The sequence below is a fragment of the Homo sapiens genome, chromosome 6, assembly GCF_000001405.40.
Source record: "Homo sapiens chromosome 6, GRCh38.p14 Primary Assembly".
NCBI lineage: Eukaryota > Metazoa > Chordata > Mammalia > Primates > Hominidae > Homo > Homo sapiens.
Genome location: NC_000006.12, coordinates 43,718,877 through 43,739,983, shown reverse-complemented (window position 1 = coordinate 43,739,983; position 21,107 = coordinate 43,718,877). Strand labels below are relative to the sequence as shown.

Genomic DNA, 21,107 nt, shown 5'->3' with positions numbered 1-21,107 from the left:
GTTCCCACCTGGAGGACACAGGGCTGGCAGGGAGACATGTGTCTATTTGCTTGTGTCCCTCCCAGTGTGGTGGGATCGCGTTGTAGGTGGAGCTGCCCTTGGGGTTGTCAGCTGAGCCTGGGCTCCACCGTCCCAGCCCACTCCACAGGGATGCAAGGAGACACCAGGTGGCAGGAAGGCAGTGTCTCCACAAGCCCAGAATCTCTCTGTGAACACTAACCTAGGCACAGAGCCAAGTGATAAGGGCCATATCTTCTCACCATCATATCTCCTGCCCCCGGCACAATGCCTGGCTATCAAAGACACTCAGTAACTGCTAAATGAATGACTGAGAAACATAAAGATCAATGGGGCACGGATCTGGCCTCCAAGAGGTGACACTCCAACAGGACAGTCAGTCATGTAGACACTAACTGTAACACAAGACAGAAAGAATGCAGTAGGAACTCAGCTGAGGGAGAGATTAATTCCAGCTGTGGGACTAGGGAAGGCTTCCCGGAGGAGGCAACATTTGAGCCGTCTAATAATAATAGTGATGATGACGGTTTATACCTATTGAATGCTATGTGTCTGGCATACTTCTCAGTGCTTTGCATATATTAACACATTCATTCTTCATATTACCACCAGATGTGGATACTATTAATATATCCATTTTACAGATGAGAAAACTGAGGCCCAAAGCCATGTAGCTATAATAAATGAGCAGAGCCATAATTTGAGCCCGATTCTGGCACAGAGGCAGGTATAGGACAGTCCTATACAACGGAATGGCAAAAAGTACAGTTTGGCTGGATGAGGAGGTTGCAAACTGGCACCCCGTGGACCACATCCCGTCCTCAGACATGTTCTGTCTGGCCCACCCGCATTGGCCTGCACAGCGTCCTCAGAAAAGGTGCAGCCCATCACCAAAGCCAGAAGGTAAACAGTGGAGTGGGGGTGGGAGGATGGGCTTTGGAGTCTTAAATTCCAGAAATGCAACAACCATTGAGAAGTTGAGTAGCACACCTCCTCCCATCGCCCCACCCTCATCCCCATCCTTTTCTGCCCCAGTCCACTTCCCTTGTCCCCAGTTACCTGTCTAGTTCCTGAAGACATTTAAGTTTGAGAACCTGGAGTCAAGCCCAGGGCACGGAAGGGAGCAGCAGCAGATAACCACGGGAAGGTACCTTGAGGTCTGAACACAAAGGGCCTTGAACACTGACCGGGTTAAAAAATAGGGGCTTCATGTCGGCAATAGCTCTGTAACTGCAGCCCCTCTAACCACCAGCAGTGTGGCAAGAAGGGCATGCATACACACACACTCACACACCATACTCACAGACACACCACACACACACAGACACCCCCACACACACGCACAGGCACACACACACACAGACACACACACACCGACACCACACACACACCACAGACACACACACAGACACCACACACACACACAGACACCACACACACACGCAGACACCACACACAGGCACATACACACACAGACTCACACACACACAGATACCACACACACACACAGACACCACACACACACACAGGCAACACACACACACACACACACAGGCAACACACACACACACATAGATGCCACACATACAGACACACACAGACACACAGACACCATACACACTCACATACACAGACACCACACACACACACACAGAGACACCACACAACAGATACACACACAGAGACACATACAGGTGCCACACACACACACAGATGCCACACGCACAGACACACACACAGACACCACACGCACACACACACAGACATGCACAGATGCAGACACACACAGACACCACACACACCACACACACACAGACACCACACATACACATAGATGCCACACATACAGACACACACACACACACACACACACACACAGGGGCTGAGATGGTCTAAACTGGTGTCAGCTGGATCCTGAGTCTCAGGAGAAATCTGGCACATGTCGTCACAACCCCAGCCTCCCTCTCACATCCCCGCCGCTCCCAAGCCCAGCCCTCAGTGGGACCAGCTGTGGCCACATCAGCTCCCCCTCAGCAGGCTCTCTCTCTCTCTTTTTTTTTTTCCTCTCTCTCTCCTTTGCACAGAAGGGAGTCCCAGAGCCAGTTCCCTTGCCCGGAGATGTTCCCAGCCCCAGGAGCTCCCAACCCCTTTGCAGGCTGGCTGGCCAGAGAGAGAATTTCGGACAGGATTTAGGCCTGGAATTTCCCTCCAAATGGGCGGTGTCGATCAGGTGAGCCAGGTTGCTGGGCTGGGGGCTGAGTGGAAAAATTTTATCTGTCCCAACCCCTTCTCCCGATGACTCAGGCCCACAGTGGCAGTGAGTCTGGGGAGGGAACAAGACAGGAACCCACAAAAAAATTTTCCCTTGTCTCTCTGGCTCTGCCACTGCCCAGCTCCCCTCCCCCATTAAACACACGCCCCACCTCACCACTCACTACAGCCACTGCCCGTACCTGGGCAACAGCCATGGAGCCCACACATCCCAGGCCCTTCCTAGCTCCCCTGGAGCAGGGCTGCTGGCCCACCGCCACTCGGGCCTTCCCCACGCCAGGCAGCCTGGACGGAGAAACGTGTCCCTGATGAAGGCCAGGGTGCACACTGGGGTAGGGTTGCCAAGTGTTACAAATGAAAATACAGGACACCCATGGGCCCATGCAATATTTGAGGCCTACTTATACTAAACATTTATTTTTTGCTTATTCTTTCTATGCAGAAGGGAGTCCCAGAGCTGAGGACTCTGAAATTCATATTTAACTGAGAAGCCTGTATTTTATCTGGCAACCTCTTGTGAGGGGCAGGGGTGGGGGTGGGGAATACCTAAGGCACCCTCTACACCCAGGATCACCCATTGTGCAAGACCTTCCTGTGCCCCCACCGTGTCACCCTACAAGGCCTTTGGCCTCAGGGCCTCTCTCAGCCCTTCCAAGCCCCCAGGCACCAGACTCTCTGAAAAGGAGAACCCCGGCACCCCAAATCAACACCAGACAGGGAGCCAGCAAGGATGTGGTGGAGGAATTTTTGGGGAGTGATTGTGCCTCAGGATACTCCATGCCCACAGCCTCCAGCTTCAGCTGGAAGGCCACAGTGGGGAAGGGGGCCCACAGCTCCAGGGGACCTCTTAGACACCCCTGTCTTCTACTCTCTTAAGTTTCTGCCCAAATCTGCCCCTCACCCACGGTCTGGTTGAAAGTATGTCTCTTTCCCTCTCTTCTTTTTTACCCCACATCCCTCCCAAAACACTCTTGCCCATGACTTTGTAATATTCCCCATCTCAAAGCCCCAGGTGAGGGGCTTTGTTGAGAAAACAGGGAAGCAGGCAAGAATTGAGTTTCATCAGCCATTTCTTCCTTCACCAGATGAGCACCTCCCATGTGCAGGCACTCTGTTAGGCCCCAGGACAGCAGCACCCAAGGCCTCACAGTGCTCACATCCCGGTGGGAGGCAGAGGACTTTCACCTAGCAGTGAGGGAGGGGCTGAGGCAGATGAGAGAAGGACAAAGGGCCATAGCTGCCTTTGGACTTGCAGATGCACCTAGCCAGCCACTGAGTCTAGGCTGCGGCTGTTGGGGGCTTCTCCCCCTCCTCCTGGGATTTAAATTGGGACTCTGTTGGCCCTAACTGTGGGCTGGCTGGCTCTAACAGTAAGCTCCCTGAGGGCAGGGCCACAGCCTGCCTGCCCCTGTGTCAGATGTTCTCTGGAGATTGAGGTGTTTTGACTCAGGATTGATTGACAATTGTCTTTGTGGCAGCAGCTGCCTCCGGCCTTGGGGTGAGGGATGGGTAGAAGCTAAAGGACCCTCTTGTCCCAGAGACCCACCCTCTCTTTCCTGGAGATTCCCACACCCACCTGCAGTGGAGAGGGCAGGGTCAGGACCCATTGTCCGGATGGAAAGACCAAATCCCAGTGACTCACCTAGAGTCATGCAGCTCATGGGGGAAGGGTAGAACCAGGAGAAGAACCTGGCAGGTTCAGAGCACCCCTCAGGGCTCCCACAGCCTCCCTACCTCCACCCACCTGCAGCCTTGTCTGGTGATGCTGTCTGTTTCAGGCAGCTCAGGCTGTTATAACCAAATACTACAGACTGGGTGGCTTACATAACAGATGTTTATTTCTTCTAGTTCTGGAGGCTGGGAAGTCCAAGATCAAGGTGCTCGTGAATTTGGTTTCTGATGAGGATTCTCTCCTCTTCCTGGCTTGCAGACAGCTGCTTTCTCACAGAGACAGAGAGAGAGAGACAGCCAGAAAACTCTCTGGTATCTTCTTACAGGGGCACTTATCCCACCATGGGGACCCCACCCTCATGACTTCATCTAAACCCAATTACCTCCCAAAGGCCCATCTCCAAATACCATCACACTGGAGTTTAGGGCTCCAACATATGAATTTGAGGGAATACAATTCAGTCCATGTCACTGGGCAAGAGGGAAGACTTTGAGACTGTGACCTTAGTAAGGCTCTTTTACTCTTTCAAGTAGATCAGTCATAAGTAAGGCTGGGTGCGGTGGCTCAGGTCTGTAATCCCAGCACTTTGGGAGGCTGAGGCCAGCAGATCACCCAAGGTCAGGAGTTCAAGACCAGCCTGGCCAACATGGTGAAACCCCGCCTCTACTAAAAATACAAAAATTAGCTGGGTGTGGTGGCACACACCTGTAATCCCAGCTACTCAGGAGGCTGAGGCACGAGAGTCATCCCTTGAACCTGGGAGGTGGAGGTTGCAGTGAGCTGAGATCATGCCACTGCACTCCAGCCTGGGCAACAGAGTGAGACTCCATCTCAAAAAAAAGAATTGAGAGAGGGAAGAGAAGGGTTTCTCTGACCTTCGGGACCCTTGAAAAGGGCCAGGGCAGGGCACACCACAGTCTGGACCCCCTGATGCCCGGGTTCTGAGTATGGCTCAGCAGGCCTTCCCCGACCTGCTTCACTGGGAATCCTGACTTCTGACTCCATGCGTCCTGCCCAGGTTGTTGCCTCCATATCTTTACACATCCTTCCCACACGTTAAGTTTGCCTTGAACAATCAGGTGCTGGCAAAAGTCAAATGTCAGACTGGATGGTCCAGTGGGCAGAGCACTGAGCTGTGAACCAAGCAGAGACAATCTGGCCACTGCCAAACCAGGCACTCCCCCACAGAATAGCCTCTGGTCTCTTGGTCAACAGCGAGGATTATGTTGTTGAAACAGAGGCTCCCTGAACCTGCTAGAAGTGAGGCTTCCCTCACTCCACCCCAAACACCCCACCAGTAAACTTGGACGCTTCAGCAGGGAGAAACTGGGAGTGGGAGAGGAGAGAGAGGCTCCAAGCAGGCCCATAATATCAGAGCTCTAAGGAAGTGTAGAGACCTACCAGACAGTAGACAGAGAGGGAAACTGAGGCTGTGGGGATAAAGGAAAGAAAAGGAGGCACCCAGAGCTCTGGGTTCTGGTCCTGGCTCAGCACTCTATGGCCCTGGGCTGGTCCCTTTCCCTCTGTGTGCTCCGGGCCTCCCCCCAGGCTTGCTGTCCCAGGGTTCTAACTGAAGCACCTTGCCCGAGGAGCTCAGGCCCAATCAGTCAGCCGCAGGTGGACTCCTGATTTCACCTCCAGGCCCCTGCCTTAGCCAGGTCCTGGGGACTTATGGCAGATGGGCTGGGGCAGGGGGAGGGGTGGGGAGAGGAGGAGGGGGAAGAGGTAAATGTCACGCCAGGGAGGGGCAGCAGGGAAGGGAAACTGAGTGTGTCCCTGGCTTGCCCCAGCCTGTCCCTTACATCCGGGGAAGGGTGAGAGTGACTGTCAGCTGGGGAAGGGGGGCAAGAAGGGTAAGCTGGGGAAGGGCAGGGAACCCCCGTCTGAACTTGTTGGGGCAGCCGGATGTAGCAGTTTCCGGCTGATGAAAGGGCCCTGATTGATGTGATAGTGACTGACTCTAACCCCCAAATCCGAGTTCTTCCCATCCTCCCCAACTTGGGCACTCCCAAAGGCCCACTTTGGAGACAGGCAAAAGCCAGAGAGAAGGGAGAAGAGTGGGGCTTCTCCTGCCACTGGGGACAACACCCCAAGGACAGGGTGGAGGGAAGCTTGTCTAATCTTTCCCACTCCAGCCCAGCAGGGACCCGGGCCAATTCGAAGTGTGGAGGGAGGGGGATTGAGCCAGGATCAGAGGGCAGGGCCAGGGAAGAGGTGCAAAGGCCTTGCTCCCTCCTCTCCCCGTGTTGGACATTCAAATATACATGTACAGCCCCAAGGATGGCAGGGAGGAGAGCAGGGAGTGTCACTGAGCATTCATTTTACAACCTGTCTAGCCATTTGCCTTTTGCCAGGCCCATATAATAATAGCAAACATTGGTTGAATGTAGCAGGCATCCTTCTAAGTAAGAAGTTTAGTGCATGACCTTGCTGACTCCTCACCACAGCCCTACGAGGTAGGTGCCATCATCTCCCCTATTTTATGGATGAGGATATAGCAGCCCAGAGTGGTTAAGGAACTTAACCTTAGGGAGAGTGGAAATGTGAACCCAGACTACACTGCCTGGAGGGGGTTATCATGGGATAGGGGGACAGAGCCAACTTGTAACCAACCTGTAAACAAATAATGACCTTACAAGCAGGAAGAGTTTCAAAAAGAGATGTATGAGGTACAATGAGTCCCTGGAGGAGGGGCACAGTGGACAGGTGTTGAAGGGGAAAAGGAGAACCAGGAGAGTCTTCTAGGACAATAAACATTTAAATTGGATTTGGGAGGTTATGGGGTGTTTCCTAGTTTAGGTTGTTTTATTTTCTTTTTCACTTTTTTTATTATGGTAAAATATGTATAACATAAATAGTCACCATTTTAACTATTTTAAGTGTACAATTTAGTGGCAGTTTTTAATTTTGATGAAGTCCAATTTATCTATATTTTTCCTTTGTTGCCTGTGTTTTTGGTGTCATACTAAAGAAACCATTGCCAAATCCAAGGCCTTGAAGATTTTCCCCTGTTTGGTTTCATTTGTAGAGATGAGGTCCCACTATACTGCCCAGGCTAGTCTCAAACTCTGGGCTCAAGCAGTCCTCCCACCTCAGCCTCCCAAAATGCTGGGGTGACAGGCATGAACCACCACACCTGGCTCACTTTTTTTTTAAGAGTTTTACAGTTTTAGCTCTTAAATTTTGGTATTTTATCCATATCATCTGCAAACAGAGATCATTTTATTTCTTTCTTTCCAATCTGGGTGCCTTTTATTTCTTGCCTAATTGCTCTGGCTAGAACTTCCATTACTGTGTTGAATAGAAGTGACAAAAGCAGCCATTCTTATCTTGTCCTGATTGTAGGGGGAAAGCTTTCAATCTTTTGCCATTGAATATGATGTTAGCTGTGGGTTTTTCATATACAACTTTTTCATGTTAAGGAAGTTCTATTCCTAGTTTATTAAGTGTTTTTAATCAAGAAATTTTTGTATTTTCTCAAATGCTTTTTCTGCATCAACTGAAACAATTGTGTATGGCTCTTTTTTCCTTCATTCTATTAATGTAGTACATTATATTGACTGATTTTTGTATGTTAAACCATCCTTACATTATGGGGATAAATCCCACTTGGTCATGGTGTGTAATCCTTTTAATATGCTGCTAAATTTGGTTTGCCAGTTTTTTGTTGAGGATGTTTGCATCTCTATGCTTAAGGTATGTTGGCCTATAGTTTTCTTGTAGTGTCTTTGGCTTGGTATCAGGGTAACGTTGGCATCACAGAATGAGTTGGAAAGGTTCTCTCCTCTTCAATGTTTTGGAAGAGTTTGAGAAGGATTGGTGTCAATTTTTCTTTACATGTTAGGTAGAATTCACCAGTGAAGATATCTAGTCCTGGACTCTTATTTGTTGGGAGGTTTTTGATTGCTGATTCAATCTCTTCACTTGTTATATCTCTATTCAAGTTTTCTATTTCCTTTTAAGTTGGTTTTGATAGTTTGTGTTTCCAGGAATTTGTCCATTTCATCTAAGTCATCTAATTGGTTGGTGTGTAATTGTTCATAGTATTATCTTATAATCCTTTCTATGTCTATAAGATCAGTAGTAATGTCTCCACTTTCATGTCTGATTTTAGTAGCTTGAGTCTTCTCTCTTTTTCTTAGTCAATCTAGCTAAAGGTTTGTCAATTTTGTTGACCTTTTCAAAGAACCAATGTTTAGCTTTGTTTATTTTTTTCTATTGTTTTTCTATTATCTATTTTGTTTATCTCTATTCTAATTTTTATTATTTCCTTCCTTCTGCTAGTTTTAGGGTTAGTTTGCTTTTCTTTTTCTAGTTCCCTAAGGTGTACAGTTAAGTTCTTGATTTGAGATTTTTCTTCTTTTTAATGTAGGCATTAACAGCCATAAACTTCTCTCTGAGTACTACTTTTGATATACTCCATTAGTTTGGGTGTGTTGTGTTTTCGTTTCATTTTTCTCAAAGTGTTTTCTCATTTTCCTTGTGATTTCTTCTTGGACCCACTAGTTGTTTAAGAGTGTGTTGTTTAAATTCTACATAGTTCTAAAATTATTGTCTTCCTTCTGTTGTTGATTTCTAGTTGTATCCCTCTGTAATTGAACATATATTATTTCAATCTTTTTAAACTTAATAAGATTTGTCTTGTGACCTAACATGTGGTCCATCCTGGAGAAGGTTCCACGCATACTTGAGAAGAATGCTTATTCTGCTGTTGTTGATTGAAGTGTTCTATATATTTCTGTTAGATATAACTGACTCATGACATTGTTCAGTTGTCTATTTCTTTATTGATTTTCTGTCTGATTGTTCTATCCATTATTGAAAGTGAGGTGTTGAAGTCTCCAAGTATTATTTTAGAACTGTCTATTTCTCCCTTTAATTATGTCCATTTTTGCTTCATATAGTTTGGGTTTAGGTATGTATATGTTTTTAGGTATGTATATGTTTATAATTGTTATATCTGCTAGGTGAACTTTTTTGACTTAATATCTATTTTGTGTAGCAATAATATAGCTATCCCAGCTCTTTTTTGATTACTATTTATTTGCATTGGATATCTTTTTCCATCCTTTTACTTTCAATCACTTTATGCTCTTATATCTAAAATGAGTCTCTTGTAGACAGTATATCATTTTTTATTCAGTCTGCCAATCTCTGCCTTTTAATAAGAGAATTTTACTCATTTATATTTAATGTAATTACTGATAAAGAATGATTTACTTCTCCCATTTAGTTATTTGTTTTTCTGTATGCTTGTGTGTTTTTGTTCCCCAATTCCTCCATTACTACCTTTTATGTATTTAGTTGATTTTTTTCTAGTGTACCATTTTGATTCACTTCTGTTTCCTTTTTTGCATATTTTTTAGTCATTGTCTTAGTTACCTTGTGATTACAATTAACATCTTAACCTTATAACAACTTAGTTTTAATAATACCAACTTAGTTTCAATAGTATACAAATGTTCTGCTCCTTTTTTACAATTTTTTATTACTTATTTATTTATTTATTTGACATGAAGTCTCGCTCTGTCACCCAGGCTGGAGTGCAGTGGCACAATCTCAGCTCAATGCAACCTCTGCCTTCCAAGTTCAAGCAATTCTCCTGCCTCAGCCTCCCTAGTAGCTGGGATTACAGGCACTCACCACTATGCTCAAATTTTTGTATTTTTAGTAGAGATGGGGTTTCACCATGTTGGCCAGGCTGGTCTCAAACTCCTGACCTCAAGTGATCCACCCACCTTGGCCTCCCAAAGTGCTGGGATTACAGGCGTAAGCCACCATACCTAGCCTCCTTATTTATTTTTTTTAAAGATAGGGTCTCACTCTGTCACCCAGGCTGGAGTGGTGGCACAATCACAGCTCACTGAGGCCTCAACCTCCTAGGCTCAAGAGATTCTCCCGCCTCAGCCTCCCAAGTACTTAAGACTACAGGCATGCACCACCATGCCTGGCTAATTTTAAATTTGTTGTTGTTGTTGTTGTTGTTGTTGAATGGGGTCTCACTATGTTATCCAGGCTGGTCTCAAACTCCTGGCCTCAACTGATCCTCATGCCTCAGCCTCCAAAGTGCTGAGATTACAGGCATGAGCTACCATGCCCGGCCTCTGCTCCTTTGCCTATCCATTCTTCCCCCTTTATATTATTATTGTTACAGATTACATCTTTATACCTTGTGTGCGCATTAACGTAGATTTATAATTATTGTTTTACACATTTGCCTTTTAAATCAGTTAACGACCTTATAATTGGCAAAGATTTCAAAGAAAGAGGTACAAGGTACGATGAGTCCTCGGAGGTGGGGCACTGTGGGTGGGGACTGGGAGGGAAGTAGGAAACCAGGAGAGCCTTCCAGGAGAATAAACATTTGAATTGGAATTCAGTTTTGAAGAACAAAAAATTATTATGTAAAACTAATTATTCACAGGAAAAGATACCCAAAATATTTTACTCAGGACAAAAAGTAGGTTACCATATAGGGTGAATTATCTCATGTTTGCAAATATGTATGTATTTATACATATTTAAAGATATATGTGTATAAATGCATAGAAAAACATTCATGATTTTAACCACCGTATTTTAGCGGTGGTTATCTCCAGTTGTTGAAACTATGGGAAGAAGAAACATTTCCTTTTTTTTCTAGTTTTTTCTACAGTGTTTGAATTATATACAATGAGCGCTCTTCACTCTTATAACTGGGAAAAACAATAATGCCATTTTTGTTCTGAAGGGTAAAATGAATACGTGGACATTTACTACGGAGACAAAGTTGGAAAGAACCTGCTAGGCAGAGGGAACAGCACAGGTAAGAGCAAAGAGGAATGAAAATAATACCCTATTACAGGAATTGCCAACCATGTGGCATGGCTGGAGGGCATTGGGGGTGACTGAAAAAGAGTTGTTTCCACGGGCCACATTACCAATGCCTTTCATCTCATAAAAAGAGTTTAGAGTTGGTTCTTGGCACAAGGGCAGGAGAGTAACAAGTTTTGATTTACATATTCAGCAAATTAGTTAATAGGGGTGGAGAGAAGCCCAGAGTCTGGGAGGCCGATGATTGAGGAAGGAGAAGCTGGGGCTGGAGGTGAGTCAAGGCTTAGAAGGTAGAAAAGAAGAATGGAAATAAGAGATAAGTGGAAGCCAAATTAGATAATAATTATCCCTGAGTGGGAAGTAAGTTTGTCTGTCTTACCAGGATTTCCAGGGTTGCAGCCCAGCCTGGCATATTAATGGCAGGAGGCCAGGTCTAGAGATGATCATGATGAAGATGATGGTGATTCATGATGAGGAGGAGGAAATTTCCATTAAAAGATCCCGGTAGCCCTTTATAGCTTACAAAGTCCTCTGACTTCCATGTCCCAGAACATCAAAATGTTATGTTCCTATTCTGCAAATGAAGGTCTGAGGCCTGGAGAGGTGATAGAACCAGAGCAAGACCCAAGCACAAAGGACCTTCCCCTAGGTACACAGGTGGGCAGCCGCTGCTGTCCCCAGCAAGCCCGAGTGATGACTGTGTGTTCACTGGCTAGCTATGTGATCGTGGACGGACATTGCCCGTCTCTGTGCCTCAGTTTCCTCTTTTATAAAATGAGAAAAATACTTCATGTGGTTGCTGAAAGGATGATATGACTGAAAACAAGTAAAGAGCTTGGAGCAGAACCTGGCACATAGTATGTGCTCAATATATATGAGCTCTTATTGTTTGTTTGTTCATTTGTTTGTTTGTTTTGAAACAAGGTCTCACTCCATCACCCAGGCTGGAGTGCAGTGGCATGATCATGGCTTACTGTAGCCTCAACCTCCCCAGGCTCAGCTTCCTGAGTAGCTGGGACTACAGGCACGCGCCACCACATCTGGCTAATTTTTCTATCTTTTGTAGAGACAGGATTTCACCATATTGCCCAGGCTGGTCTTATCTTAAACTCCTGGGCTCAAGCAATCCACCTGCCTCAGCCTCCCAAAGTGCTGGGATTACAGGTGTAAGCCACTGTACCTGGCAGGGCTCTTATTATTTTTCCAATTATTATTCGTCTTTGCACAATACCCCACACAGATCATCTGGAAAGAATGACTGGGAAACCAGGCTTTAAGCGTTCACCAGACCCCTTCCTTACTTTCAGACCCTGACTCATGGAGAAAGGACCAAGGCTGGAATCTTTGTCCCTGGTCTGGTTCACCAGCACTCTGAGGTCCTTTGCAGCACTCACCCTTTCCAATCATTTCCATGCTCCTTTGTGCTCATGTGTGCATTCATTTATTCATTCATTCATTCATTCAGCAAACGTATCATATTCTAGTCTGAGCCCATCCTAGGGTCTGGGACTACAAAGAAAATCATGGCCTGGGCCTTTCTTCAAAGGCCTCACTCACTCATTCATTCATCAAACATTTACTAGGGGCCTCCTCTGGGCCCACACCTACATATTCTGTTTCTATCCTCTCTTGCCTTTGGACATGAAATAATTATTCAGGGAGTCATTTCCCAGAGATTATTTCATTTCCAATCTTCTTCTCATGCTTTCCGCCCTGTGTACCCACTCTGCGCACACACCAAATCACACAGAGAAACCAAAACAGAGATCCAGAAAGAATATTCTCCCACATCTCCTGTGGCTGAAGACTTTCCACTAGTTCCCAGAGTCTGGAAGGAAGAGCAACAGCAACTGAGTCCTCTGGAATTTTTTTCCATTCATTCATTCATTCATTTATTCACTCAACAAACAGTTTACTGAGCACTGTATCTGTGCCAGGCCCTGTGCTAGGAAGTGTGGGGGTAACAGAAATGAATAATCACAGAGTGCACCCTCGAGGAGTCTCCATTCAGTGGGCCAGTGGCTCATTCTTTCCACAAATATTCACTGAGCTTCTCTAAAGCATCAGTTAAGCTTTGGGAATGTGAACAAGAAAGATGAAGGCCCTGCACTCAAGGAGCTTGCTATCTATGAGGCGATGTCTCGTGCTGTCTGTGAGACAGACAATGGGCAAGTAAGCAAACCAGTAGACCACTGTTTTTCCAAGCAAGGCTCCGAAGAAAATAAAACAGGGTGATAGGACAGTGACTGAGGTTAGACAACACAAGTGAATTAAATTTGAGCAGGGCACTTACTTGCCTTCTCTGGGCTTCAGTTTCCTCAAGGAGAACAATCATATCCATCTCCACCATGGGAAGCAAACGAGTTAGTATATGTAAAGCCTGGAACATAGTGAGCACTATGTAAGTGTCATCAATTATTTATTTTTCCCAGGGAAGGGGAGGGTGGAATGGAGGAGTCTCACTCTGTCACCCAGGCTGGAGTGCAGTGGCATGATCGTGGCTCACTGCAGGCTTGACTGCCTGGGCTCAAGCAATCCTCCCACCTCAGCCTTCTGAGTAGCTGGGACTACAGGTGTGCACCACCACACCTGGCTAATTTGTTTACTTTTTGTAGAGATAGGGGTTTCATTATGTTGCCCAGGCTGGTCTCAAACTCCTGGACTCAAGCAATCCTCCCGCCTTGGCCTCCCAAAGTGCATCATTTGTTATTTTTAGGTAGATGCATAAGCAGATCATCAAAACATTAGGTGGTTAGTGCAGAATAAGGCAATGTAGATCCAGGGCATCCTGGGAGCACTGGAGAGGAGCCCCAACGTGCCAGGTACAGCCCAGCCAGGGAAGAGAGTCAGGACACTGGGCATAGATGCCCTCCCTGCGTCACCTAACCCTGCATCCCTGGAACCCACTGGCCACCCCCAAGGATGTTGCCTTTCTGAAGTGCTGGAGCAAGTGGAGAGGGGCAGAAGAAATGCATGTGCCCCACCTCCCTGCGGACAAGAGGGGAGAGAGGGTACACAGGTGGCCACAGGCAGGCAGAATAGGGCCTGCTTTCATGGGCCACCTCCTCCCAGGACCCTGGCTCTCCAAAGTGCCTGCCACCCTGTCTGGTGATAGAAATGCTGGGGAGTTGGGAGGAGGGCGGGTGCCCTAACACTCAATCCACATGGAGCAGAATGAAGGGGCAACTCCCCTTTCATGGAGTTCTTTCCTAGACCCTAGAGTTCAAGAGTTCAGGACTCCTGTTCACAGGAGCACACTATCTTTCCACCACTCTCAGCAGGGAGTATCACTGCCCCCACCTCTTAGATGAGTACATGGAGGCTGAGAAGGGACACTGATCTTTCTCAGTCACTCAGTTCAGAAGTGGCAGCGGAAAGTCAGCATCTGGGCTGGCTGCAAAGTGGCCACTCTTCTTCTCCTTCCCCGTTCTGCTTCTCCCAATTTGGGGTGCCCAGGAAAGCCTATTATGTAGGGAGGGCAGGGCTGTGAGACTCAGGGGAGGTGGGGGAGTGAGAGGCAGATATTGCTGTGTAAAATGACCTGGATCTGTGGTGAGGGCTCCAGGATTGGTGGAGAGAGCAGGGTACAGAACTGGGTTGGGGGGTTACAGCCAGGAAGAGATGGAACCACAGGGAGGAAGCCCCGCCTGCCCCCCATCCTCATCACAATAGGCATCGTGGCAAACAGAAGGAGGAAGGGGCAAGGCCCCAACCCCTCCTCCACAGTATCACCTGGCCAGGCAGCCCCATTCCCAGCCCTGCGCCCACAGGGACCAGGATGTGGGCAACTAGGGATAGACAAGCCCTGACGTAGACAACTCTGCGACCCCCATGCCTGGCCTCCTTAGCCACCAGCCAAATACTCTTTGTGGTTTGGGCACCGGCCAAGCGCCCACACCCCAGCTCACGGGACCACAGCTTCCCTGTTGCATCAGGTTACTGAGCGCGTGCACACGCCCCAGAGCCTGTTACACAACTGTGGTGCGCGTGCGCAGCACCCACACACCCTGGGTGGCTCCACAGTCCCACAGAAGAAACCGCAGCCTTGCCTGGAGTGCACAGGGCCCGCTCCAGACTCTTGGCATTGAGAGCTGGAGATGGGGGTTAGGGGGAGGAGGGTGCCTGGTCTGGGGCCAGGATCTGTGAGCTCCACCACTGGCTCATTGTGAAACACCAGTAAGTCATGGCCCCTCTCTGAGCCTGTTTCCCCACCTAGAAAGGAAGCTCACCTTCCACCCTGATGATCTACATACCCAATTGCCCTCTGCGCCCCTCAACACCCTCCAAACCACCACCACCATCTCCCTTCCTGTAGGAATGTCAGCAAGAGAGGGAAGCAAGAATCTGCACAGAGAGGAGACGGAGGGGTGGATAAGATGACCTCTAAAAGGGCCCTTTCCTCTTGGGGCTTCTCCCCAGTAGAAGTGGGTGTGCCTTGAGGGGAGCTCCATCATCACCCTTTCTCCAGGAAGACCGAGGACAGTGGCCAGAGCTCTTTTGAGAAGAGACTAAGGAGCAGGAGGCAGGGGATGGGTAACTTTCTTCTGGAGGCAGGGGATGGGTAACTTTCTTCTTTGTAGTTTTTTCCCCCACTTTTCTACAACAGACATGTGTCACACACTACTTGCAATGGGTGGAGGAGGGAGTGTGTTGGGAGGGCAAATGCTCTTGGGGAAGGTTAATGTATCAAGCACACCCCCTTTCCCACCCTTAAGCCAGCATTTCCCTAACTATGTTGTGGCAAACGGGCTCAAATAAGCACAGGAAACCTGAGTTAAACACAGTCTAACAGGTTTTCTTGACTGCAGGACTTCTCTGAGCCTCTAACATGCTAATCTGGGCTACAACCCTCAGAGACGAGGGACGAGACAAGGAAACGCATTTAATCTCAGAGCTCTTTATAGGGGAGCATCTCAAGATGCACTTACTAGGCACTGCTGGAACTCAGAGTCCGGTGGCACGCCAGGCCCACACCCCATTGGTGAAGAGCCTCCATGGAGGAGAGACAGCCTAGGCCCCGGAGGACACCAAGGGCAGATGCCCTAGGCAGCTACCTCCCACTGCGTGAGTCCAATCCCAATCCTTCTCCCCAGAACTGGTCCAAGACCTGTATCCCAGTTACGAAGGCAGGTAGTAATGTGGGAGGGCCCATGGGTGGCCCTGCCGCTTCCCTGAAGTTACTTAGATCTGCAGTGACCCCTGCTGGCTCTAGCCAAAATCACCCCTCCCCTTACTCCTCACCTTCCTCCTTGCCAATCCCTGGCCCTCCAGCCTCTTCCTCATTAGCCTTGACGCAGCCCCATCAGGACCCACCGTGACCACACCCAAACACCAGATCCTTTATGCTTTCCTTCATGCCTGGGGTTGGAATCTGGCCAGGCTTTGACTGAGCAACATGTTAGTGAGTTCTGAGGCCTGTGCTGGGGAGGCCCTGATGGCATGAGGAAGAGGGCTCCGAGGACAGCCTGACCCCTTATCAAGGGCACAGTCACCCGCATGGAAGTTCAAGACCACTATCATAACAGCAAACATTCATTGGCTTTTTCAGGAACAGAGCTGAATCCTTTATGTCGAGTATTCCATTTAATTCTCATAAGAATTCTACAGGCACTGTTCCTGCATTGATCCAGTTTTCCAATGAGAAACTGAGGCTCAGAAGTTTAAAAATTACCAAATGGCAAAACTCAGATTCAAATCTGGATTTCTGGATTTGAGCCCACCCGTTCCTTCCCCGTGCTATTTTGCTCTTCTTGCTTCTGCCCACCCCTCAATCCACCTACAGTGTTCAAGTGTAGTTTTTTCTGCCCAGTGCCCGTGGTTTTGGGGAAGATGACTCAAGTGGACTTGCCTCATGTCCTCCAAGCATGGCCTTGTGAGCAGACCTAGCCAGTCATTATACCCTTCCCCCTAGTCAACGGGAACACAGATTGGGTTTTCATCCCCCGGAACCCATTCTTTCTTCTGATAAATAGCCTCTTGATTTCCTCTGGGCAGTCCCTACACTCTCAGTAAAAGTGGCTTGGATGGAAATGACTCCATCTCCCTGTCTCCGTGGGAAGATTCAGACCACTCAAGCACAGAAAAAAAAAAAAAAAAAAAAAAAAGTCCTATCCATAGTGATTGGTTCAGGAAGGACATATGACCAAACCAGGCCCATCAGAGTCAATCCTGGAATTTTACTGGAGCCACTGGGAAGAAGAATGGCTTTCTGCTCTCTCCGAAGTTACTAAATGGGTACGTATATTCCAAGAGTTTCCAGGAGTACTGCCTAAGGAGAACATGCGCGAGAAGGAAGCCCACACAGAGGAGAGCAGAGACCAAGCCCTGCAGACATTGTCCGGGCTGTGCCAAAGACAGACTCACCCCTGGACTCTTCAGTGATATAAGCCAATAAATTACTTTTTTGTTGTTGTTTTTGTCTTAAGCAAGTATGAGTTGGGTTCCTGTCCTTTGAAACAAAGATCTATCGAAGCCTCCCCCCATTATTCCTCATTGTTAACAGCTGTGTTTCCTTCTTGCCTTTTTCTCCCATGCTTACACAGACATACTGGACACTTTCTAAATAAAAATTGACGCCACTGGCTACTCCTTTCTTCAAGATATACTCTTTCGCTTATTTTTGTAAAGCCTAGCTCCCGGTTTTCGGCTCTCTTCCTGCCCCTCTGAAGTCCTGTCCATCTTATTTTCCTTCACTGGCTCCTCTCTGTTTGCGAGTAACAGAAACCACCTCTGGCACTTATAAGAAAAAATAAAAAACAAAAGAATTAACTGGAAAAATATTAAGGAGCTAGGTCAGAGAATCGACTGGGAGTCTGGAGTACCTAACTTGGAAACCAGACAGAAGTGACTTGGCTGAACTCCAAAGGCCCCTTCCATCCTAGTGTCAGGATGCTCAAGATGCCCAGACCCAAGAGTCTGACCAGCTGAGTTTAGGTCAGATGGCCGCCCCTCGGCTGCTCCATGGAGGTGAAAGGGAGGGCCTGGTGCAATGAGTCTCCAGGGATCCTTCCAACTCTAGAGTAGGAAAGCAGATCATTTGTTTTTTCACCCCACAAGATGGAGAAGAGACAATGCCCCAAAAGGAAAACTCAAAATGAGGGTGAACATGTTCCCAGCATTCTCAAGGTTGTGCCCTAGGCTTTTTCTCTTCTCTCCACTGCTCCCTGGGCCTTCTCATTCCTCTCTTTGATGGCTGCAGCTGCCACCAATATGCCTACAATGCCCAGGATAGACCTCTACCCCAGACCTGTCTCTTGAGTCCAGACCCATATATCCATGAGCCTCTCTACACAGATGGCTCACAGCCCCTTCAACTCAATGCGTTCAAACTTAACTCTTCCTGGTCAGCAAACCTGCTCCTTCTTTGAGGTCCCTTAGCTTAGCAAATGCAACCACCAGACACTCCACTGATCACAGCAGAACCTGGGATCCTTGAGTCATTCTTAATGTCCCTCACCCTAGCAGTCTCAACTCTAGTACTCCCATCTTCACCTGAATAGTTCCTTGTGGCATAAATGTCTAGCCATCTCCCTTTCTTCTTTAGTGATAGGCCCATGGCTGCCCAAAATAAAGACAAATTCCCTGGCATCCTTTGCAGCTAGGAGAATCATGTGACTGAGCTCTGGCCAAAAGTCTGTGAGTAGAAATGGTGTGTCACCTACAAAGATGTGTTCTTAAAGGCAGGAGCATATCATTTCCTTCTCTCTCACCTTTTTCCTTCCTGCTGACTGGACTATGAACATAATGGCTGGAGCTGGAAAAGCCATTCTGGACTGAGATGTGAGAATGTGAGAATGGTGGAGCCACGGATTTAGCTAGAGGGAGCCTGGCACCTGTGATGACTATGGAGATTCTCCATCACCCCTGGACCACCCAGCTCTGGGCTTCACTTATGGAAGAAAATTAAACTTCTGTCTTGTTTAAACCACTCTTATTTTGGGGGTTTTCTGTCACTTACAGCTGAAGCTAATCCTGACACATTGCTCTCATCCCTGTAAACTTCAGCTTAAATGTCACTTCCTCCGAGAAGTCTTCCTGGATCACACAGATTCAGGCAGGTCCAGTTGTGATAAAATGTCATAGCATAGAAACTTATCCTGTGCTTCCCTTCACCGCTTCTCAGATTTGTATTGAAATCTTTTTTTTTTTTTTTTTCTGAGACAGAGTTTTGCTCTGTCACACAGGCTGGAGTGCAATGGCGCGATCTTGGCTCACTGCAACCTCTGCCTCCTGGGTTCAAATGATTCTCCTGCCTCAGCCTCCCTAGTAGCTGGGACTACAGGCACACGCCACCACACCTGGCTAATTTTTTGCATTTTTAGTAGAGATGGGGTTTCACCATGTTGGCCAGCCTGGTCTCGAACTCCTGACTTCGTGATCCGCCTGCCTCAGCCTCCCAAAGTGCTGAGATTACAGGCGTGAGCCACCGCGCCCAGCCTGAAATCATTTTTCATATAAAAATAGGTTTATTATCTTTCTCTCCAATGGAACACAATTTCCAAGAGGGCAGGAACTGAGGCTGCCTTTTTACTGCTGAAGTCCCAGTGTCTGGAATATGGCAGTCATTCAATAAACCTTGTTGGTGAATGAATGGATGAACTTAATATTTTAGATGAGATTATCCCCCATTTCACAGGTCAAGTTACTACAGTCACTTTTCGTAAGACATGAACCCAACCAGACCTACCACCTCAGACTCACCAGCTTCTGTAAGTGAGCCTCACTCCCCACATGGAAATTTGTCCTCCGCTACCTTCATCTCAGCTCTGTGGCTCTGTGCTCCTCTTTTTCTTAAAATTCTGGGATCATCTATTACCAAACTCAAGTTGGCCTTAACAGACTCTAGGGTTCCAGCTCAGCAAACAGGCTATTGTCCTGCTTGAAGTCACCTCCAGCAAGGGGAAAGATAGTACCCCATCCTCTTTCCACTCAAGCAGCCTAGGTAGTCATCATCAAAAAGGATCTCAGGACCAGGCGCACTCCTCCCAGGGCCTGCTGGCTCCAGCTCCCACTCTTGCTGCCTGCTCTGGTGCCCCCAGAACTTCCCTGGCCTTTGGGCCCTGAAGAATCCCTCCCCTGCCCTCTGCGCTCTGCCTTTGATGATCCTCCAAGTGGTGAAGCGTGGAGGGCAGGGAATGTGGGATGGGTTAGGGTTAATTCCCACTAGGCTGTGAGCACCTGAGGGCAGGAATCAAGCTTTTTCCATCCCTGTCTTCCTACACCTGGCACAGTGCCTGGCACATAGTAGGCTCAGAAAATGTGGCTGGATAAAAAGCAAGGCCATCTAAGGTATGGCTAGGAGAGGAAGAAAGGGCTGCATGGGGTGAGGAGGATAATCAGAGATGCTTGCTGCCCACTGGGTGCTCTGAAAGGAGGGTAAGGATCTGCCTACTCCTATCACCACTTGTGCGGGGAGGGGCCCAGTCAGGAGATGCCGGAGGAGTCCGGGGTTGGTGGGAACTGGATCCCGGCAGACCCTCTCCCCGCCCCACTGCCAGGCAGGGATCTGTGGGTGGGTGAGCATGTTTGGCTATTGTCTCTGATCTGTGCTCCTGCCGCTCCTCTTGATGGAGCACAGTCAAAGAGGTGGCTGCCATGGGGCCATGTGAGAGCTGTCCGGACACCCAGGGGTCCTCCAGGCCATTGGGTTCCACCCTCCAACTCCCATCTCCCCACCATTCCCAGGGCCCAGGCTGGCCCCACAAACAGGAACAGCTCCAAGCTGGGGTAGTTCAGCTCCAGATATCAGGCCGGGAGGGCTTTCAGGGATCCCTGGATGAGTCCAATGCTGGCACAGTGGGCAGATGGGGAAACTGAGGCTGGAGAGAGCAAGAATTTGCCCTCAGCCACAGAGCAAGGTTAGAGGCACAAGGACCCAAGGCTCCTGGCTCCCATTTCTGTGCTGTTTGCCATACCAGGTAGGGACCCTGGAGAAGAAGGGGTGGGTAGGTTTGGAGTGGGAACTCAAAAAATCCACCCCACTCCACCCCAGAGTAAAGAGCATGAGCTCTGAAGCCAGAAGAGCTGGACACAAATTCTAGCTCCACCTTCCATCATTCTAACCTTCAGCAAATGTCTTTAGCTGTCTGCGCCTCCGTTTCCTTAACTGTGAAATACATATAACAGTAATTGTAATAACCTCATAGTGATATTGGGAGGACTAAATGAGTGGACACATATAAAGTGCCTGGACAGGGCTCCATATGCAGTAAATGCTCAGTGAACACTAGCTGTCACTATCTTATGGTCCTCAAAAGGTCTCCGTGTCCTGTCGAAGTCCAAAGTCTTTCCTAAGCCAGCAAAAGGCCTTCCCCCAGGAATGATTGTAGTGAGA

The 21,107-nt window shown here is 48.1% G+C and overlaps 3 annotated features.

Moving 5' to 3' along the window:
• Positions 5,785-5,974: an enhancer, noted in NCBI's record as "active region_24615". NCBI's record gives its function as "activates an Ori minimal core promoter by ATAC-STARR-seq in GM12878 lymphoblastoid cells {active_cell/tissue: GM12878}" and the evidence as "EXISTENCE:reporter gene assay evidence [ECO:0000049][PMID:35858748]".
• Positions 6,078-6,372: a silencer, noted in NCBI's record as "tiled region #12588; K562 Repressive DNase matched - State 5:Enh". NCBI's record gives its function as "represses a minimal TATA promoter and a strong SV40 promoter by Sharpr-MPRA in K562 cells {active_cell/tissue: K562}" and the evidence as "EXISTENCE:reporter gene assay evidence [ECO:0000049][PMID:27701403]".
• Positions 14,954-15,043: an enhancer, noted in NCBI's record as "active region_24614". NCBI's record gives its function as "activates an Ori minimal core promoter by ATAC-STARR-seq in GM12878 lymphoblastoid cells {active_cell/tissue: GM12878}" and the evidence as "EXISTENCE:reporter gene assay evidence [ECO:0000049][PMID:35858748]".